This window comes from Homo sapiens, chromosome 13 (assembly GCF_000001405.40).
Source record: "Homo sapiens chromosome 13, GRCh38.p14 Primary Assembly".
Classification (NCBI taxonomy): Eukaryota; Metazoa; Chordata; class Mammalia; order Primates; family Hominidae; genus Homo; species Homo sapiens.
The window spans coordinates 111,166,535-111,183,957 of NC_000013.11; the positions used below are offsets into that span (position 1 = coordinate 111,166,535).

The following is a 17,423-nucleotide window of genomic DNA, read 5'->3' on the forward strand; positions in this document are numbered from 1 at the left end:
ACAGTCCCGTCAGCATAGGTAGCAGGAGAGACTGAATTCTAGTTTTTATCAAGAGGGTAGAGATGAGATGATTTACAGATGGACTAGATGGGGTATGCAGGAGAGGAGTCAAGGAGGACCAAGGGTTTGGCCTGAGCAGTTAGAAGAAGTTGTCTTTGGGATGGGGAAGTCTGGCAGGGCCAGATGTGGGCACTCAGCTTCAGACATGCTCCATCAGGATATCTGTGAGATGCCTCAGTGAAGATCAGGTCTGGACTTCAGGGATGCGGCCTGGGCTGGGATATCAGCTTCAGACTTCGGCACAAGCAGGTTCTGATTGTGTAGAGTGATGTTCCTGTTAGTCTGTATCATGTGGAAGAGTGTCTTAAACACATATTGTGGGCAGGTGCTGTGGGGAGGAGGACATCCATGCCTCAAAGAGAATGAAGGAATACCTGGTGAAGGGCTGGGGGAGGAAGTGAGGAGATGTTAGTCCCAGAACATTTTAGGCCCGCTAGACGTGCGTACTGACGTTGCTCATTTCCTGGCCAAGCTGTAACCACCTGAGTAAACGGTTGGTTTGTTCTTGGGTCAGGTGTATCCACAGCAGTCATTCAGTGCGAGGGTACTTAGGTCCTCTTTATCGTCAGAAAATCACAGAGAAGCACCATGCAAAAATAGGTTTGTGGTCATATAGCGTGAAAGTTGGCAAAGATATGATCTCTGGGCTATTTGTACGTGAGCTTAGAAGAAACTGAGGACTCGTCATCAAGTTGTATTTTATATTTCTTTTATCCAATAAGACTTGTACATAGCTTAAAAGATAAACAATACTTAGAGCCTCAAAAGGAAACACAGTCCTCCCGCACTCTCCTTATCCCAGAAACACACTCTCAGCTGGTGTTTCTTCTTGGTCTTTACTTCCTCCTTTCCATATTGTATCCTGGCACTGTTGTTTCTTATCAGTTTTAGTTAATAACTGTCTAAGATGAGGGTGTAGCTCTTTGTATCACTCCTATCCCCCAGTTCAGGAGAATCATTCTTTGCCCTGCATGTGTGACATGATATCCCTTGGTGCAATGTTAGTTGTTTTAGCCAATGTTTTTTCTTAGTTATAAATGACATGTGTGCATTCTGAGCAAACAGAGTGTTACAGGCACACGTAAAGGGAAATGTCCACTCTTCTCTCTCCCTCCTAAATACCCTAACCCTGCTTCCTGCAGGAGCCACTGTTGAATGCTGAGGCACACACGGACTCTTTTTCAGGAACTGAGGCCATGCTAGGAATGCTCTTGTGCAGTTTGCCTATTTCCACTGAGAATGTAGTGCCTTTCCTGGGGGCACCACTGTGGTGGGCAGCACACCAGAGCGTGACAGCGACATAAGGCGCTTTCCGGAGGACAGAACACCAGAGCCACCCCTTCCTCACAGGACACTTGAACAGTAAAACTGAACCTTCTTGCTGTGACAGTGTGGAGTTATGGCAGGAGAGCAGGGTGACTGTCCAGCCTCGATAATGTTCCCTCCTTGGCAGAGTGAGGTCCTTCTGCTCAGTTTGCCTCTTGAGGAGTTGGGTACCAGGAGCCTGAGGAGAGGGTCCTGGCTTACCTAGGTTTTTCCTCTCTCGTCCAGGTCATAGGGAGACTGTCAGGGCTGAGATGGCCAGGGTAGCTGGTGGAAGGTGCTAGCCCTCCCCTGTGCCTGCTTCTCTGCCTCTGCCGCTCTCCCGCTTGGTCTCATCTACTCTGTCTCTGCGGTGTGCGACAGCTGTGTGAGGCCCCACTGTGCGACAGCTGTGTGAGGCAGGGGTGTGGGTCCCCTCCAGGCCTGCCCAGCCACCTAGCAGCTGTTGCCATTCCAGGCTCAGAGTCCCCGCCTCCTGCAGATTTCTTCAAGCTTCATGCTGCCTTGAGGATAAACACGAGTGGAGAGTTGACACTTTTCCTTCCATGTCTTTATGTTCTCAGAATGTTCCAAGAACTTGGAATATTAACAGGGAAATACCAGGGTTTCTGCATAGAGGTGGATAAAATAGGCAAGAATTGTTCAGGTTCAGTCTTGAAAGGTAATGATTGAAAAGGGATATCCTTATAGATTATACAGTTTTGAAGGCTATGAAAGGGTTTCAGTAAATTGTCCATTCCCACCCCCAGAAAAAAATCACAGAATCACAAAACTTGGGTTTAGTTTTTTGAAGCTTGAGAGATGATTTTTGAAACTAAACAAAGGAAATATTAAAGATGTAAAAATGGCATAGTTTTGTGGTTTTGATATGTTGACTCCAAGAAAGTGATGCTGTGTTGAGAGAATAGGTTCCTTGATGACTGATCGCCAGTGAAGTGTTTATGGAAGCCAGGAGTGTTGGATGACATGAGGAGGGTAGGTGACATTGCTTCTATAATATGTTCTTTGATGCCTGTGCCAGAGAGGATGCAGACAGCAACTCAGTATTCACAATTTGAAGCAGACCTTATCATTTCTCTTTTAATCAGTAGTTCTGAACTTTTTGGTGTTCAGTAATTCGGGAAGTTGGCTTAGGTAACAAATAATGACAATAGTAGCGGTTAAGTTTGGGGATGCTTACTGTGGGGTTGTGCCAGGCAGAGGCAAATCCGTTTAACATGTACTAGTTTACTTAATCCTTAAAAAAGTCACTTGGCATTGTTGGGAAGAGAAGAAAGTCGTGTGTTAGGAGAGAATTGCAGAGGTCGTTAATGCCACTGTATTAGTCTGTTCTCACATGGCTATAAATACCTGAGACTGGGTAATTTATAAAGAAAAGAGGTTTAATGGGCTCATGGTTCCACAGGGTGTACAGGAAGCATGATGTTGTCATCTGCCCTGTTTCTGGAGAGGCCTCAGGAAACTTACAATCGTGGTGGAAGGCAAAGGGGAAGCAGGCTCGTCTTAACTGGCCGGAGCAGGAGCAAGGGAGTGGGGAGGTGCCACACACCTTGAAACAACCATATCTCACCAGCACACACTCATCATCACGAGAACAGCACCAAGGGGAAATCTGCCCCTCACGATCCAGTCACCTCCCACCAGGCCCCACCTCCAACATTGGGGATTATACTTCGACATGAGAACCAAGCCACATCAGCCAGAGGCTTCTTCCTGGTCCTTGCGTTGGTAACCAGGACCTTGCTTGTGAGACATTATTGGAAGATTTTTTGGTGGAATTATATTTTTAACTTTGGAGTCATTCTTACTGTAAAATATATTTATGCTGTTACAGTAATGAACATTTAATGATCACCTCTGTTTGCTAGACACCGTTCTAGTTGCTGGAGGTGGCTTGGTGAGTAAGGGAGGAGGGGCCCTGCTCTTAGGGAGTGTAATTCTAGTTGGGGAGACACTTAAGCAAAGGAATGAGCGTGTGAACAAATAAAACTGTCATGCGCAACAACTGCAGAATATCAGGGGGTGAGGTGAGAGAGCACCTGAGTGCTGACTTAGATTGGGTGATCAGAGCAGGCCCCTCTGCAGAGGTGACGCTTTTAGAGATTGGGTGATCAGAGAAGGCCCCTCTGCAGAGGTGACGCTTTTAGGATTTGCTCTCACAGCCAACGTGATACAAGCTAGCCACTCTTCTTTTTTTGTAGACAGAGTCTTGCTCTGTTCTCCCTGCTGGAGTGCAGTGGTGTGATTTCAGCCCACTGTAACCTCTGCCTCCTGGGATCAAGCAGTACTCATGCCTCAACCTCTCGAGTAGCTGAGATTACAGGCATGTACCACCATGCCTGGCTAATTTTTGTATTTTTAATAGAGACGAGGTCTTGCCATGTTGGCCAGGCTGGTCTTGAACTCCTGGCCTTAAGTGATCCACCCGCCTTGGCCTCCCAAAGTGCTGGGATTATAGGCGTGAGCCACCGTGCCTGGCGCAGTTAGTCAATCTTCTGAGGAAGACCAAACGTGGACGTCAGAATTGCTCTTCTGTTGACCATTTTCTTCCTTCTTACTGGAATTTCTTCTTATTTTATCTCTTATGTAGGGAAGCTGGGTGAGAATTGATCATGTTACTGGCGTTATCAACGGCCTTGCACAAGGCTGCTCACTCAAGCCTTCCTGCCTTTACTGAATGCAGTGCTAAGTGGCCGGGGAAAGTGCTGTGTGTTACCCTTAGGCCAGATTCACTTTCTGGAAGGTTCTAGAAGGTTCCTTGTTGGGAGATGATGGTGGCTACCCCAAGGGTCTGGCTCCGCTCTGGGAGGACTTGGGAGAACTCTGATGACGGATGGTGCCCAGGCCCCTGGAAGCAGAGCCTGCTGCTGTGTGTTTGAGGTAAAAATGGGAGACCTGCTTGTTGGGTACTTGGGACAAGAAGTTTGATTTGGGAATTTAATTTATGGCAGATAACAGATAATCAGTCTCAGTCTTTTCTGTTGCAGATATAAAAAGCAGCAGTGGTTATCTTTAATTTTTAAAAGCATTTTATCCTTTTTCTGTTGTTTGTGTCCATAAGAAAAATGCATGCATACCAAATATCCATCATAAAATAGGGAACTAAGAATTTTGTGTGCACTGGATTTTCTTTTTTTAAAATTATTGTTTGAAATCTGTTAAACAAGGGCTTGAACTCAAATGAAAGAACTGGCTTTTACTTTAAGCTTAAGCTCACCAATGCACTCTTAGAGTTACTTTTGTTCAGGGCTCTGTATAACCAAATGGAATTAGCCTGAGGAAGGTACGGTTTTTTCCACAGCATTTTGTTTGTGATGAGGAGGCTAAGATAGTTTAAACTGTGTGAGCTGGCACTGTTGTAACCATAAAGATTTGAGGTATTTGGGTTTTGGTTGTAGCCAAGCCTAGCTTGGGAGCTGCGTGTGCAGGAGTACAGGTGTCTGAACAGAGTGTGGCTGCTCAGTGCTGGATGAGGCTCTTTGGTGACAGTCTTTGAAAGCAAATTAAAAAAAATAAAGTGAAAAGCATTAAAAATAATTTCACTTTGTTTATAGAGTTACACTTTAATATCGCTCCAGGTTACATGCTTGAATCTACAAGTCCTTTCCCTTCATGCTTTGATCTTTTAGTTGAGGAAGTTGGCTCATTATGTATGTGTTCAATTTGCATGAGCAATTTTTATGTGATGGAGTAAACATCAGTGTGATCTTTGAAGTTAGCTTGGTGAATGCTTTTCTAATTGGGGAAAGCTGTTAAAGTTTGATTTCAAGAGAAAAAGGAATGAGCCTCTAAAAACAAAGCTCTTCTGTGGCTGCCATGGTCTGAATGTTTGTGTCTCCTCCCCAAATTCCCATGTTGAAATCCTAACCCCCAAGGTGACAGTATTAGGAGGTGGGGCCTTTGGAGGTGACTAGGCTCATGAATGGGGTTAGTGCTCATATAAAAGAGGCCTCAGAGAGAGACCTCTGCCCCCGTGCCATGTGAGTTTGCAGTGAGTTCATCTGTGAAGAAACAGGCCCTCACCAAATACTGAATCAGTCCATGCCTTGATCTTGGACTTCCCAGTTCCAGAACTGTGAGAATACATTTCTGTGGCTTATGAGCCGCCCAGGTTATGGTATTTTCTTACAGCAGCCTGAACGGCCCAAGGCAGTGGCAGAGAGCATCAGTACACGGTACCCTGAGAAAACACGTTCGTAATCTTGACGAGGGGCTGGTACTCTAAATACGTAAGTAGCTCTTACAAGCCAGTAAGGGAGATTGTAACAAAATGAATTCAGTTCTTTAAATGGAAGCACTCACTGATCAGTGCTCTAGGGGCCTTTAGAGCATAGTCTCTTTGGAAATGTGGTCCTGGAAGTATATATTCTCTTAATATCCCTAAACGAAATAAATTCAGTTCTATAAATGGAAGCACTCACTGAATCAGTGCTCTAGGGGCTTTTAGAGCATCGTCTCTGTGGAAATGTGGTCCTGGAAGTATATATTCTCTTAATATCCCTGAAGTCATGGCATTCTCCAGTTCCAAGTCACGTGGTGGTGCCGCTCTCTAAGGCTGCAGGTAAGTTGGTGATCACCTCATCCTGTGACAGTGTCACATCCTCTCTGACTGCTTCTGCCCTTCACACTTTTTGGGAACCATTTCCTCAAAGAAACTCAAGCCATAATAAAACTTGGTTTTAAAAAACCAGCCTCTTTTCTTGCAGTAAATTTGAACTGTCATTTGCACACTTAGTAAAAACACCCTACAGACTGGGTTAATAGCAGAGAGAGGGGTCCTGGTGCTGTAAACCAAGGCTTGGCAGTTTTCTGTAAAAAGCTAGACAGTAACTATCTTGTGGGGGCTGGGGTGGGGCAGACCTCTGTCACAATTATTCTGCCGTTGTTGTGCGACAGCAGCCAGAGTTGGCATGTACAAACTAGGCATAGCTGTTTTCTAGTCAGACATTACTGATGCTGCCTTTTTCTCCCGATTATAGTAGCTATGTGTGTAGACAGGTTGAGCATCTCAAATATGAAAATCCAAAATCTGAAACGCTCCTGGTCCCAAGCATTTCAGATGAGGGATGCTCAACCTGTGTATAGAAATAAAAACTGCAGAAAAGTATATGAAAAAACCATTCCACTTGTATCATTAATAAGTTACCTTTATTAACGTGTTGCTGTATTTCCTTCCAGCATTTTTTAATGCCATTTGCTCACTCTCAACCCACACCTTTTTTCTTTTCACAGAGTTGGTGTCAGAGTGCACACAGATCCTGCCAGTTACCTCCCCCAGAGCATGTTGCGTTTCTGGGCAGAAACAGCCTAGCCATGGTTGGGGTGGAATGCATACTGCCTGGGAGGGCTGGCCGGTCTCAGAGCCTGGCAGCCTGGAGGGGTGGTGTGCTTGGCTAGCTTGTCTTGATATTTTGCCCCCTTTTAAAGTCTTCCAGTCACTTTTATCTTCACAGAGTAGCAGGGTCATACTGGGGAGTCAGAACCAGGAAAATTACCAGGAGTTTGACCAATTCCAGGCCTCTGTGTCTGTCTTGGGAGGATGCTCCACCTTCGTACCTACTTTGTGGCATCAGTTGGAGATGCTCTGTAGCGTAAGCTCAGCCCCAGGATGTGGAGGGACAGGGCAGAGTGCTCACTGGGGACACAGTGTATTCACTGATTGGAAGCCTGTGAAATTTCATCCACGGATTGCTTTCCCAGGAGGTTGGCAATTTGGAAAGCACATTTTGGATGTGCTGTTAGGGTCAGCTTTAAGTCGGCTTGTGTTTCATGGCTGCCAAGTGAGCATGGAGACCACTGCCTCTCCCCACATTGAATGGAGATGTCTCGTGTTTGAGGATGTCATTTGCTACCTGCAGCACCTGGTCTTGGAGGGTTGGGAGGTCAGGGGGTGGGTGGGGTGTGCCCGTGAGACAGGTGCGGGTGTCTGTAGAGGGATGTGGGTGTCATTCAGTTTTATCAGGCTGCTTAACTGCTTGTGGTGGTGTTTGCATTGCACTGACTGGGTCAACTTGTGTAGTGATTACTATGATAAAAAATTTACTTAATTTTCAAGACAAATTTGTGATCTCCGATTGGTATTAATAATTCATAAGGTAGATTTCCCTCCTTTGTCTGGCACCCAGCCCTCCCCCTGTACTATTCGGATAAGATTAATGAAGCGCCTGAGGTAAACAAGGTAGAATCCGTGTTAGCTTATTTCAGTGTAAAAGGTTTGTTTTGAAAAAAGGAATGATATTTGCTGCTATTTAAAATCTAGGTAATATTTTATAGAGACTGCTGAGATATTTTGGGATTGAGGATAATTAAAATTGGTTACTCTTATTTCTCAGAGCTTATACTCTAAGATCATTTACTGATTTTTACATTTAACCACACTGTTAAAATGTCCAGACGGCAGTGCCTGTGGAATCCCTCTGTTGGCACCTGTTGTGTATTGGCATCTTCATGTCTTCCGAATTCTTCAAGGCTTTTTTCTCCCCCTTTGGTCCTTGACAGATTTCTGCCCACCCAGCAAGGAAGAGGCCATCTTGCTGTCTTCTGTCATCTCCTTGTCTGTCTCCCTTTCTTGCTCTTCCTTCACCTTTCTCGCAGTCTTGCTCTTGCATTTTATGACTTCCTGGTCATTACAAGGAGCTGGGAAATGCCATGCATTATCTGGGCATACGTGGCTTAGTTCACTAAGTTTTCCTGTAGTGCTATTTTGAGTTCATTGTCTTGCCTTAGTTAAAGTAGACATCTGGAGGGCCACTTTGCTCCAGCTTTGTGAAAACACACCTTCTGGGTTTGCCCTGCTCTGTGTCCACACCCCGTGCCTCAGCTGTGCTAGCGGTCTGGTCCATCTGTACGCTGGGGGTCGTAAGCAGAAAGGAGAGGAAACACCGGGAGGTCCTTGCAGCTCCTAGGAAGCAGTTTGCTGATAACTCAGCTAGGCGTGCGAGGACTAGAAGTTGCTGACAGTCCTCGGGTTGGTTTTGTGCAGCACATGTGCTTGTGCGTGTCGGGTGAAACCTAAAAGCTCCATCTGTTGCCTGTGTCTCGGGATCTTGCTGTCTCCTCCTCAACCGTCCTCCTGTGTTGGGAGCATACAGCAGTGTGAATTTGACTCTTCCCTGTTTTAAGTTGAATTAAATTAGATTGTAGCCTTTCCACAAGGTAGATCTGCCTTCTGGGAGTGGGACGAGCTTCTCTAAATTGAATATTTGTTTGTGGTAAGCTGCTTATTTCTTTTCGTAATAGTTCACTGAAATAGCCACTAAGGAGTTGATGGGATAATTCAGCAGCTGTGCACTGAGGGCCCCTGTGGGTCCCACACTGTCTTAGAAGCTCTAGAGTCAAGGCCCACACTTGTATGGTTCAGAATGTACAGAGGACAGACATGTTCACAACAGAATTCCTGGCGCTGATGGAAGCCATGAAGAAGACAGAGTGAGGGGAGAGTGAGGGAATGGGAGAGGGTGAGAGAGCAGGGCTGCCCTGTGAGACTCAAAGCCTGGGAGCACCTCTCTGGGGGCCCTCTCAGTCAGGGTGTTGCCATGTGAGTGTGGGGAAGGGCACCCAGGCAGAAGAGTGCCTGGGCAAAGGCTCTGAGATGGAATTGAGCCTGCCTGCTGCAGGCTGGAGCCTGCAGTGGGGTGAGTGAGCTTTTGGGGGAAGGACTGGAGGCCCCAGGGGCGGGCCTCCTAAGCTGCTGGCTCCTCACTGGGCGTCCTCTGCTCCAGGCGCTTTGAAAGGTATTGCCTTGGACGTCCTCATAGCAGCCCTGGGAGGTGGGACTGCCCACTTCTCTTTGTGGATAAGGAGACTGAGGCACAGGGGTTGAGTCTTTCTGAATGTGTTAGTCTGTTCTCACACTGCTATAGAGAACTGTCTGAGACTGGGTAATTTATAAAGGAGAAAGGTTTAATTTACTCACAGTTAACACAGGGCTGGGGAGGTCCCAGGAAACTTAACAGTTGTGGCAAAAGGGGAAGCAAACACGTCCTTCTTTACATGGCGGCAGGAAGGAGAAATGCAGAGCGAAGGGCAGGGAAAAGCCCCTTATTAAACCATCAGATCTTGTGAGAACTCACTGTCACGAGAAGAGCATGGAGGTAACTGCCCCATGATTCAATTACCTCCCACTGGGCCCTCCCATGACACGCAGGGTTTCTGGAAGTAGAAGTCAAGATAAAGAGTTGGTTGGGGACACAGCCAAACCCTATCAGCCACACAGGTAGTCTGTCACCAGCACCATGCTCTGCCTAGGACTCTGAGCCCCCTTCTGTAGGTTGATGGAAGTGTGGATTTTAGTCTAATGATGGCCAGAAGCTGCTGGAGGATTTTAAGCCTGATCTTTTACCCATAGAAAATGCGACCATTGCTGCTATGTGGAGAATGACTGTAGGTGAGCAAGATACTTTTTGATGTCAAATTGCAGTGTTTGAGGTGTGTAAGGCAGTTTCTGTTTCCTGAGAATTGTGCGTGATGTGCCTCTCCCCCTCTGGCATCTGGCTGCCATTTGTGTGGTGGATCTGGTTAGATGGCCGGCCCCTGGAACTTGTGTTTTGCTTCCTCCCCAGTTTCTTCCTAGGTCCCACTCTCTCCTTTCTCTTCACTGTGTGCTGTGCCCTGTGGGGTGACCCACGTAGCCCCTGCCTGCCACCTGTCACTGCCTAAACACCCTCCCTGGGAAGTTTCCCATCAGGTAGGGTCATGTCCAGGAGTGTAACCATGATGAGTGGGACCCCCGCGTGCGGACGTTTGTCCTCCTCTTGTCCCCCATCTGCTCTTGAGCTTTCCATTTCAGGCGTGTCACATGATCTGAGATGTCCTTAGGTAGTATTTGCTGACTGGCTTATTTATTTATTTATTTTTTTAGATGGAGTTCACTCTTGTCACCCAGGCTGGAGTGCAATGGTGCGATTTTGGCTCACTGCAACCTCTGCCTCCCGGATTCAAGCGATTCTCCTGCCTCAGCCTCCCCAGTAGCTGGGACTACAGGCGTGTACCACCACGCCCCACTAATTTTTGTATTTTTAATAGAGACGGGGCTTCACCATGTTGGCCAGGCTGTTCTTGAACTCCTGACCACAGGTGATCCACCCGCCTTGGCCTCCCAGAGTGCTGGGATTACAGGCGTGAGCCACCGCGCCCGGCTGACTGACTTATTTTATAAATAAGTGGTGTGTATTCTGTGCTAGGCGTGGTTCCAGTGACTTCACCGAATTAACTCATTTAAACCTGTACCAGTGCTGAGGAAGCAGGCATCGCTTTGCGGGAGAAACGGAGGTATTGAGAGGCCTGGGAACTGGGCCAGGGCCACACAGCTGGTGCATTGTGGCCGGGGCTGAGGCTGGGCCTGTTGTGATGCACTTCCTGTCTCTGTGCCTGCGTGCATATTGAAGAAACACAAATGATGTTGTGTTATCGTCCTTTTGTCCCTCTACTCTCAAAGGAGTCCACATTCTTCCTGTTGCAAACTGGTCAAGGCCCATTGGTCATTCTGGGAGCTGAGCTCAGGCGGGGTGTGAGATGTGCTATCAGTGGAGTCAGTGTGTTCTGAATGCGGCTGGAATCTAAGGAGCAGGTCTGTGCTCACTGAGGAGGGGAGGGTCACACCCCCTGAGAATGTGTTCTCAGTATCCCTGAGCCGTGTTGGTGAGTTTGCAGGTTCTCACACGGTCCTGCTGGCAGTCCCATTAGGCACTGCTGCCCCGGTGCCACTTGTCTGGACTAGCTCAGCTGATGACGTTTGTCCTTGGGACTGTCACTGGGAAGGCCTCTCACTAGCCTCAGACAGAGTGGCCCAGACTGGGTAAAAGGCATGTCTTTCTGGGTATGAAATATGTGCTATCTTGAATATATTAGCTCACGTGCATTTTTCAACATGCTATTGAACAAGGATGTTTGATGTTGGCCAGATGGTGGGGAAAAAAGTGTTAAGAAGGGTATATGTTGTTATTTTCTAAAAGTCCTTGTGAAAAATGAAGCAGACAGTCATGACCAGTGAGTGGGAACAGTGAAGCTTGAACTCGCACGCAGTGTGGTCCCGAGAACCCTGGAATAGCTCACCTCCTCTTCTCCATGCGCAGGGAATTCTGTGTTCACTCAGTGCCTGTCCTTTGACCTCCTTCCTCTCTCCTAAACTTCCTGTTTCTCAGCTTGACTGAGGCTAGTAAAGCAGGGTTCTTTGATCATCTTTTAGTCATTGCTTTTCTATTTTCATTTAAAAATAAAGCAAGAAAATGCCAGCTGATCTTGTAGGGATGGGAAGTCCTCCTCTCTCTTTTTCTTGACAGGCGCTTGCCCTGAAGCACTCTGAGTTCCTGAGGAGTTCCCTTATGTCCTGGGAACCAGCGAGAGAACAGGTTCCCAGTGAGTAATTACAAAAACACAAAACCCTGAGTTCTTTTCAGACCATATTTAGATGTGCAGTCTACATTTAATGTGTTTTTAAAAATAGCATTCTTATCCAAAATATGTGTTTTTGGCCAGATTTTTGTCAGTTTACCTTGTATGTTTTCTGTGATAGTTTAGAGAAAGGGAGTGGTCTTCAGTTCAGAGGTGATACAGTATTCAGATGGAATGTTCACTCTTGCCCTTTAGGGAAGGTTTCAAGGTTAGATTGGGTGGTATCCACTTGGGATTCTGAGTATGCGAGTGTTTTTAAAAAATGCTGACCCCAGCATCTCTCTGGAGAGTTTCTGACTGAGTTAGCTTGGTACTTAGCGCTGTCCAGCTGGGCATGGTGAGGAGTGCCAGCCATCTGTCAGGGAGGCAGCTGCCGGTACCCACCCAGCTTGGAAAAGGCAGGGAGGAAGCCACACTTTTCTCTAACTGTCTCGTTGTAGAATGGGCCAGCCCAGCTATGCTGAGAGTTTGAGGGGAAGATTAGTGTGGCAGTGACTGAGATCTTTAAGAAATGTCGGGCCGGTCAGAAGGATTGTTCATGTGGGTGTTTATTTGCACGAAAGCCCCACAGATGATGAGTGAAATGCTTTATTTTCCTCCTAGGCTACGGATGGTGAGCGGATGCTAGAGAGAGCCACTTAATGTGCCGTCCCCCCCCTTTTTTTTTGTTTTGAAAACTTTAAAAGTAACAAAGGTTGGGAGACTAGAGTTCGGTGAACATCCGTGTGCCCTTCTCACAGGTCACCAGCATTCTGAGTTCAAATGCCTGTTCTTTTTTTTTTTTTTTGAGACAGAATCTTGCTTTGTCACCTAGGTTGGAGTGCAGTAGTGCAACCTCAACTCACTGCAGCCTCTGCCTCCCGGGTTCAAGCGATTCTCGTGCCTCAGCCAGCCTAGTAGCTGGGATTACAGGCACGTGCCATCACTCCCAGCTACTTTTTTTTGTGTGTTTTTAGTAGAGACAGGGTTTCGCTATGTTGACCAGGCTGGTCTTGAACTCCTGACCTCAGGTGATCCTCCCGCCTTGGCCACCCGAAGTGCTGGGATTACAGGAATGAGCCACTGCACCCGGCCTCAAACGCCTGTTTCTGTTTTATTTTGCCAACTGTGTAAGTCATGTTGTAGATCCCATGATCCTTACCTCTGAATACTTCAGCATGTGTATCTTAAAAATAAGAACATTCTCCTACATAACCATGGTGTCATTATCACACCCAGAAATTTAACGTTGTGTTGCCGTATGCTATATCCTATAATGTTATCGCTTATGCAACCCATATTCAGATATCTCTGGTGGTCTCAGAATGACGTTTATGGCTTTTCTTTCTGTTAAATGTAGGATCTGAACAAGGGTCATGCATTACATCTGGTTTGTCTCTAGTTTATTTTCCTGTAGGATCGTTTTTCTGCCTTTATCGCTTTAACGTTAGGATTTGACGCTTTTGAAGAATCCAGGCTTGTTAGTGTGTAGCATGCCCTACAGTCTGGACATGATTTGGTTCAGGTTAGACATTTCTGGCATGAATTCTGCATAGGTAATACTCTGTACTTCCCATTGGGTCCCAGCGGAAGGCACTTACTGTTAGTGGGCTCCGTCACTGCTGGTGCCACAGTTGGTCACTAGGTTAAAGTGATGTCCACCAGATCTCGGTTATAAGGGTGCCTTTCCCTTTGTGCTTAATCCATGGATGATACTTTACCCCCAAACGTTTCACTGATGCTTCTAGCATCCACTGCCTACGTGCCTGAATTACTTCCTGTTATGGTGGTTCAGGTGGTTCTCAGGCCCTTTGATTTGAGGCTTTCTTTAGGGCCTCAGGCTCCTGTTGGCACTGGAGGGTGGTGGTGGGCATCTAAGCCCGCAAGTTGTGGGATGTGGGAGAGGAGAAAATGTTACTTTGCTTTCAAGAATCCAAAGATTCTATAACATTTGTGAACTTAGTCATTTACTTCTGAGGTCTGTTTTACTTCCCTTACGAGCTTTTCATTACCAAGCAAAAAATCAGTCTTTGACTCAGACTGAAGCCATGAACTGAATTTTATCCATGTGAGCTTCAGGAGTGAATAGAAGGAAGTTGATTGACAGGGAAGGAACACATACAGATAGGATATTTTCCATTTTATGAGAAGTAACGGTGGAAATACAGAAGAGGTAGAAATGTAAGATTCTTTAAAACATGCATGACAACAGCTTAGTAGTAACAGCTGCTGCTTCCAGAGGAGCTTCTCAGTACCAGAAGCCCCAGAAGGCTGTGTTGTAAGGCAGAGATAGTGATCACACTACAGGAAGGAGAAGCTGAGATGTAGAGAGGTTAAGGAAGATGCCCAGTGTCTAACATTTACTAGGTGGCAGAGTTGGTATTTGAATCCAGGTTTATGGTGATTTCAGAACTTCCAAATTGAGAATTAAAGATCAGCTCCAACAAGAGAATGAGAGCAGTACAGTTGGTGGAAGATTATAGACACCTGGAAATTTAATCTTTATGGGGAACTATATACTGTAGTGTCCATAATGTTCTGCATTTTGAATTTTTAATACGTGTGTTTATATAGATAATATACATAATCTGCATCATGCAACTGGAAGGACATTTAAGATTTAAGATGTCTGATTGCAAAAATGTTAGTGTTCAAAATGCCCCCCATCATTCTGGGCATGATGTGTAACTCAGTGAAGGCCGTTGAGTGTAGTGAAAGACTTACTACTTGGAAAATAAATTGGAGCAGGTGAATGGCCACTTTAAAATTTGAGTAGCTCCTGTCCCTGTTGTATTTGCTAATTGTTTATCTCTTAGTGGTGAATTTATTCAAAATTCAAACTTCAACAACTTTATGGATTCTGTGTGTATTGGTTACATTGTGAAATACATTTTTTAGTGTGGATCATGGTCAAGAGTTTGAACATTGATCACATGGGGGTCTTAGAAGGATCAGGACAAGGGAACTTTGGAATTGGTAAATTTGTGTATTAAGGGTTTCAAGTTGTCCCAACTTCAAATTTTACATCCCTTTGCTGAGAGAAGACCTGGAAACCTACTTTTGTCTTGTTTATGGCAGTTGATTGGAATCTTAGTTTAGAACTGGCCCCTGGAAGAGGTGGAGGTCATTTTGTAGGACTTGGAGCATGCCCAGAAAGAGATGGGACAAAGTCATGAGATCCTTTGACTGGGGCATTTCTTGGATAGATCATGTTTTTTTTAAACAACAACAACAACTGGGGAGCATAGTCTGGATTTCATTGTGGTGGAGAACTTGGAGTATTTCTCCAGGTGCTGTTCATCAGTTTGCACTCGGTTCTGAGGAAGTGTCTTGAGCTGGGTGCCTTGCCCTGAGGGAGTATAGAGGTGAACAAGATATCTGTGCCCTGAGGCATCATGGAACAGTGCACTGAAGTGGAAGGAACCCATGTAACCTGAATAGGGGGCAGCAGCTGTAAATGCTTCAAGAGAGGCGCAGCTGTCATGGGGTTGGGACTCAGAGAGGGGAAGAAACATTCCAGGTGGAAACAGGAAAGAGCTTCAGGTAGGAAGCGACCTTTGAAAGGGCAGAGGGGCCAGACATCATGCAGGTAATGCTGCTGCTTGGTTGGCCTGTGAGCTTTTCAGGTTGATGTGTTGAACTGAACCAACAAAGCGTTGTGGATTTGGTGAGCTGTCCTAAATGTGGAGTCAGGGGAAATGTGAAAAGCCTGCAGCATTGTGCATCTTGACTGCTAGGGGATGGAATAACTTGAACCTGATGTTTGTTCAGAGGAAGCTGGGAGGGTTTTATTCACAAGAGTGGCCTTAATTCACAAGAATTGGAGACCAGGAGGGTGAGAACACCGCCGTTCTGGATCGCAGCAGTCTCGTTGATCTTCACGGTGTCGAGCGTGCTGGTGTGCCGCCTCCATACGACAGGTCCCTGTTCGCCGGAGGGTTCAGGACTTCCTTGGGAAGCATTTCTGAGACTCTTTTCCTCTGTACCTAATGGAGCCCCCGTGTTCTCTGGCCAGCTTCCTTCCACGGGGTGCTGAGTTACTGCCCCGTGTGTCATACAGTGGACCTTCAAGCTGCCTTTGGTGGTAAAAGCTTGTCTGCATGTGTTGCATACAAAAGGCTTTTCTCCAGTGTGACTCCATCCGCCTTTAAATCTGAGGAGCCGGAGAGGATGAGAAGGTCTTCCCACACCTTGTGCATCTCTGTTGCTTGGCTGTGGGCATGGCTGGGCCTCTTAACAATGGTGTCATGCCCAGGGGTGGGGGGAACGTGGCCTGGGGTCTGACGAATACCAGGAACTTCAGCTTTGATGGAGTTGGCTGGGCTCTGATAAACTTGGAGACTGCTCCCACCTTCCATCTCAGCGTGGCCGCTCTCAGCTCTGCCCCCGCCATCGGGAGACTTGGACTAGATGTTTAGAAAGCAGTTTTAGGGTTCAGAGAAATTGGGCCTAGCATCTGTGGGCTCATACAGATATGGTTCGTCATCTCCAGTGGTTCAACTTACATGTTTTTTTGACTTTGCCATGGTGCAAAAGCAATGCACATTCAGTAGAAACAGTGCTTCGAGTACCCATACAGCCAGTTTTTCAGTATTCAGTACGTCACATGAGCTATTCAACGCTGTGTTATAAAATATGCTCTTGTGTGAGATGATTTTGCCCAACTGTAAGCTAATATGAGTGTTCTGAGCAAACTTAAGGTAGCTAGGCTGAGCTGTGATGTTGTGTAGGTTAGGTGTATCAAATGTATTTTCAACTTCACGATGTTTTTCAGTTTACAGTGGGTTTAACAGGATGTACCCCATTGTGAGTTGAGCATCTGGGTGGCCCTACAAGGTAGAACCAAGGTGTAAATAGTCAAGAGTTAGAGGAAGGCAGATTACTAGCAGTCACATTGCACGCACGCTATGTCATTGTACTCGTGCTAGCAAGTTTTGTTAAATGGCGCTTATTTTGAAATACATATGCAGTGGACATGTACTGGGAGTTAGAAATTAAGTGCAGAAGGCAGACAGCTATAGCATTCTATAGCATTTGGATGGGAGTATTGGCACCTTTTTTTTTTTTAAACAAAAATGTTCTCAGTGAAAATGTGGTTATAAGCTTATTTTTTTCTATTTCTCTCAGAAGCTGTCTGGCAAATGTTTTGATTCTTTGGATGTTTTTTGATGGGGTCTACCCTCAGGTCTCACACCTCCGGCATCATCTGTGGCTTCGTCTTTTCTAATCAAACCTCCTTTGAACTTTTCATGTTGTCTGCTGAAAGTTACATTTGCATAGCATCAAATAGTGCATAAACTACATGTACATTGTCATTTTATCAATTATTATAAAGTCCTGTGGATTTTTACCTATAAACCCTCTTCTAATCCATTTCTTCTCTTCCCCATTATGGCCTCTTTATGAGGGAGGGAATTTAATATACTTGCTCTGTCTCTCACCTTCCCCACAGCCCCTCTAAATCCCAATTTTTGCTAATTGTACCGGTTTTATAATTTTCAATTTTTTAGTAGTCACCTTTTAACTGTATTTCTAGTATTTCTTGACTTGTCATCTTAGACTTCTCTCCTGTGTAAAAGATGAGGAGCTCTGTAAGTCTCCACCAGGACTTGTGGGGAAGGGTTGACGGGGGTCACTTGCTTATGGCCGGGTGCGGGTGGGACTGCATT

The 17,423-nt window shown here is 46.0% G+C and overlaps 1 protein-coding gene and 1 pseudogene across 46 annotated transcripts in view, besides 2 other annotated features; one reads left to right on the top strand and one right to left on the bottom strand.

The window, feature by feature from the left end:
- ARHGEF7 (Rho guanine nucleotide exchange factor 7) overlaps window positions 1-17,423 on the top strand; it is a 191,116-nt gene that overhangs the window by 51,916 nt on the left and 121,777 nt on the right. The window lies entirely within an intron of this gene.
- Window positions 9,269-9,428: an enhancer, noted in NCBI's record as "active region_8024". NCBI's record gives its function as "activates an Ori minimal core promoter by ATAC-STARR-seq in GM12878 lymphoblastoid cells {active_cell/tissue: GM12878}" and the evidence as "EXISTENCE:reporter gene assay evidence [ECO:0000049][PMID:35858748]".
- Window positions 9,439-9,658: an enhancer, noted in NCBI's record as "active region_8025". NCBI's record gives its function as "activates an Ori minimal core promoter by ATAC-STARR-seq in GM12878 lymphoblastoid cells {active_cell/tissue: GM12878}" and the evidence as "EXISTENCE:reporter gene assay evidence [ECO:0000049][PMID:35858748]".
- On the bottom strand, window positions 15,577-16,162 carry SALL4P4 (spalt like transcription factor 4 pseudogene 4; annotated as a pseudogene).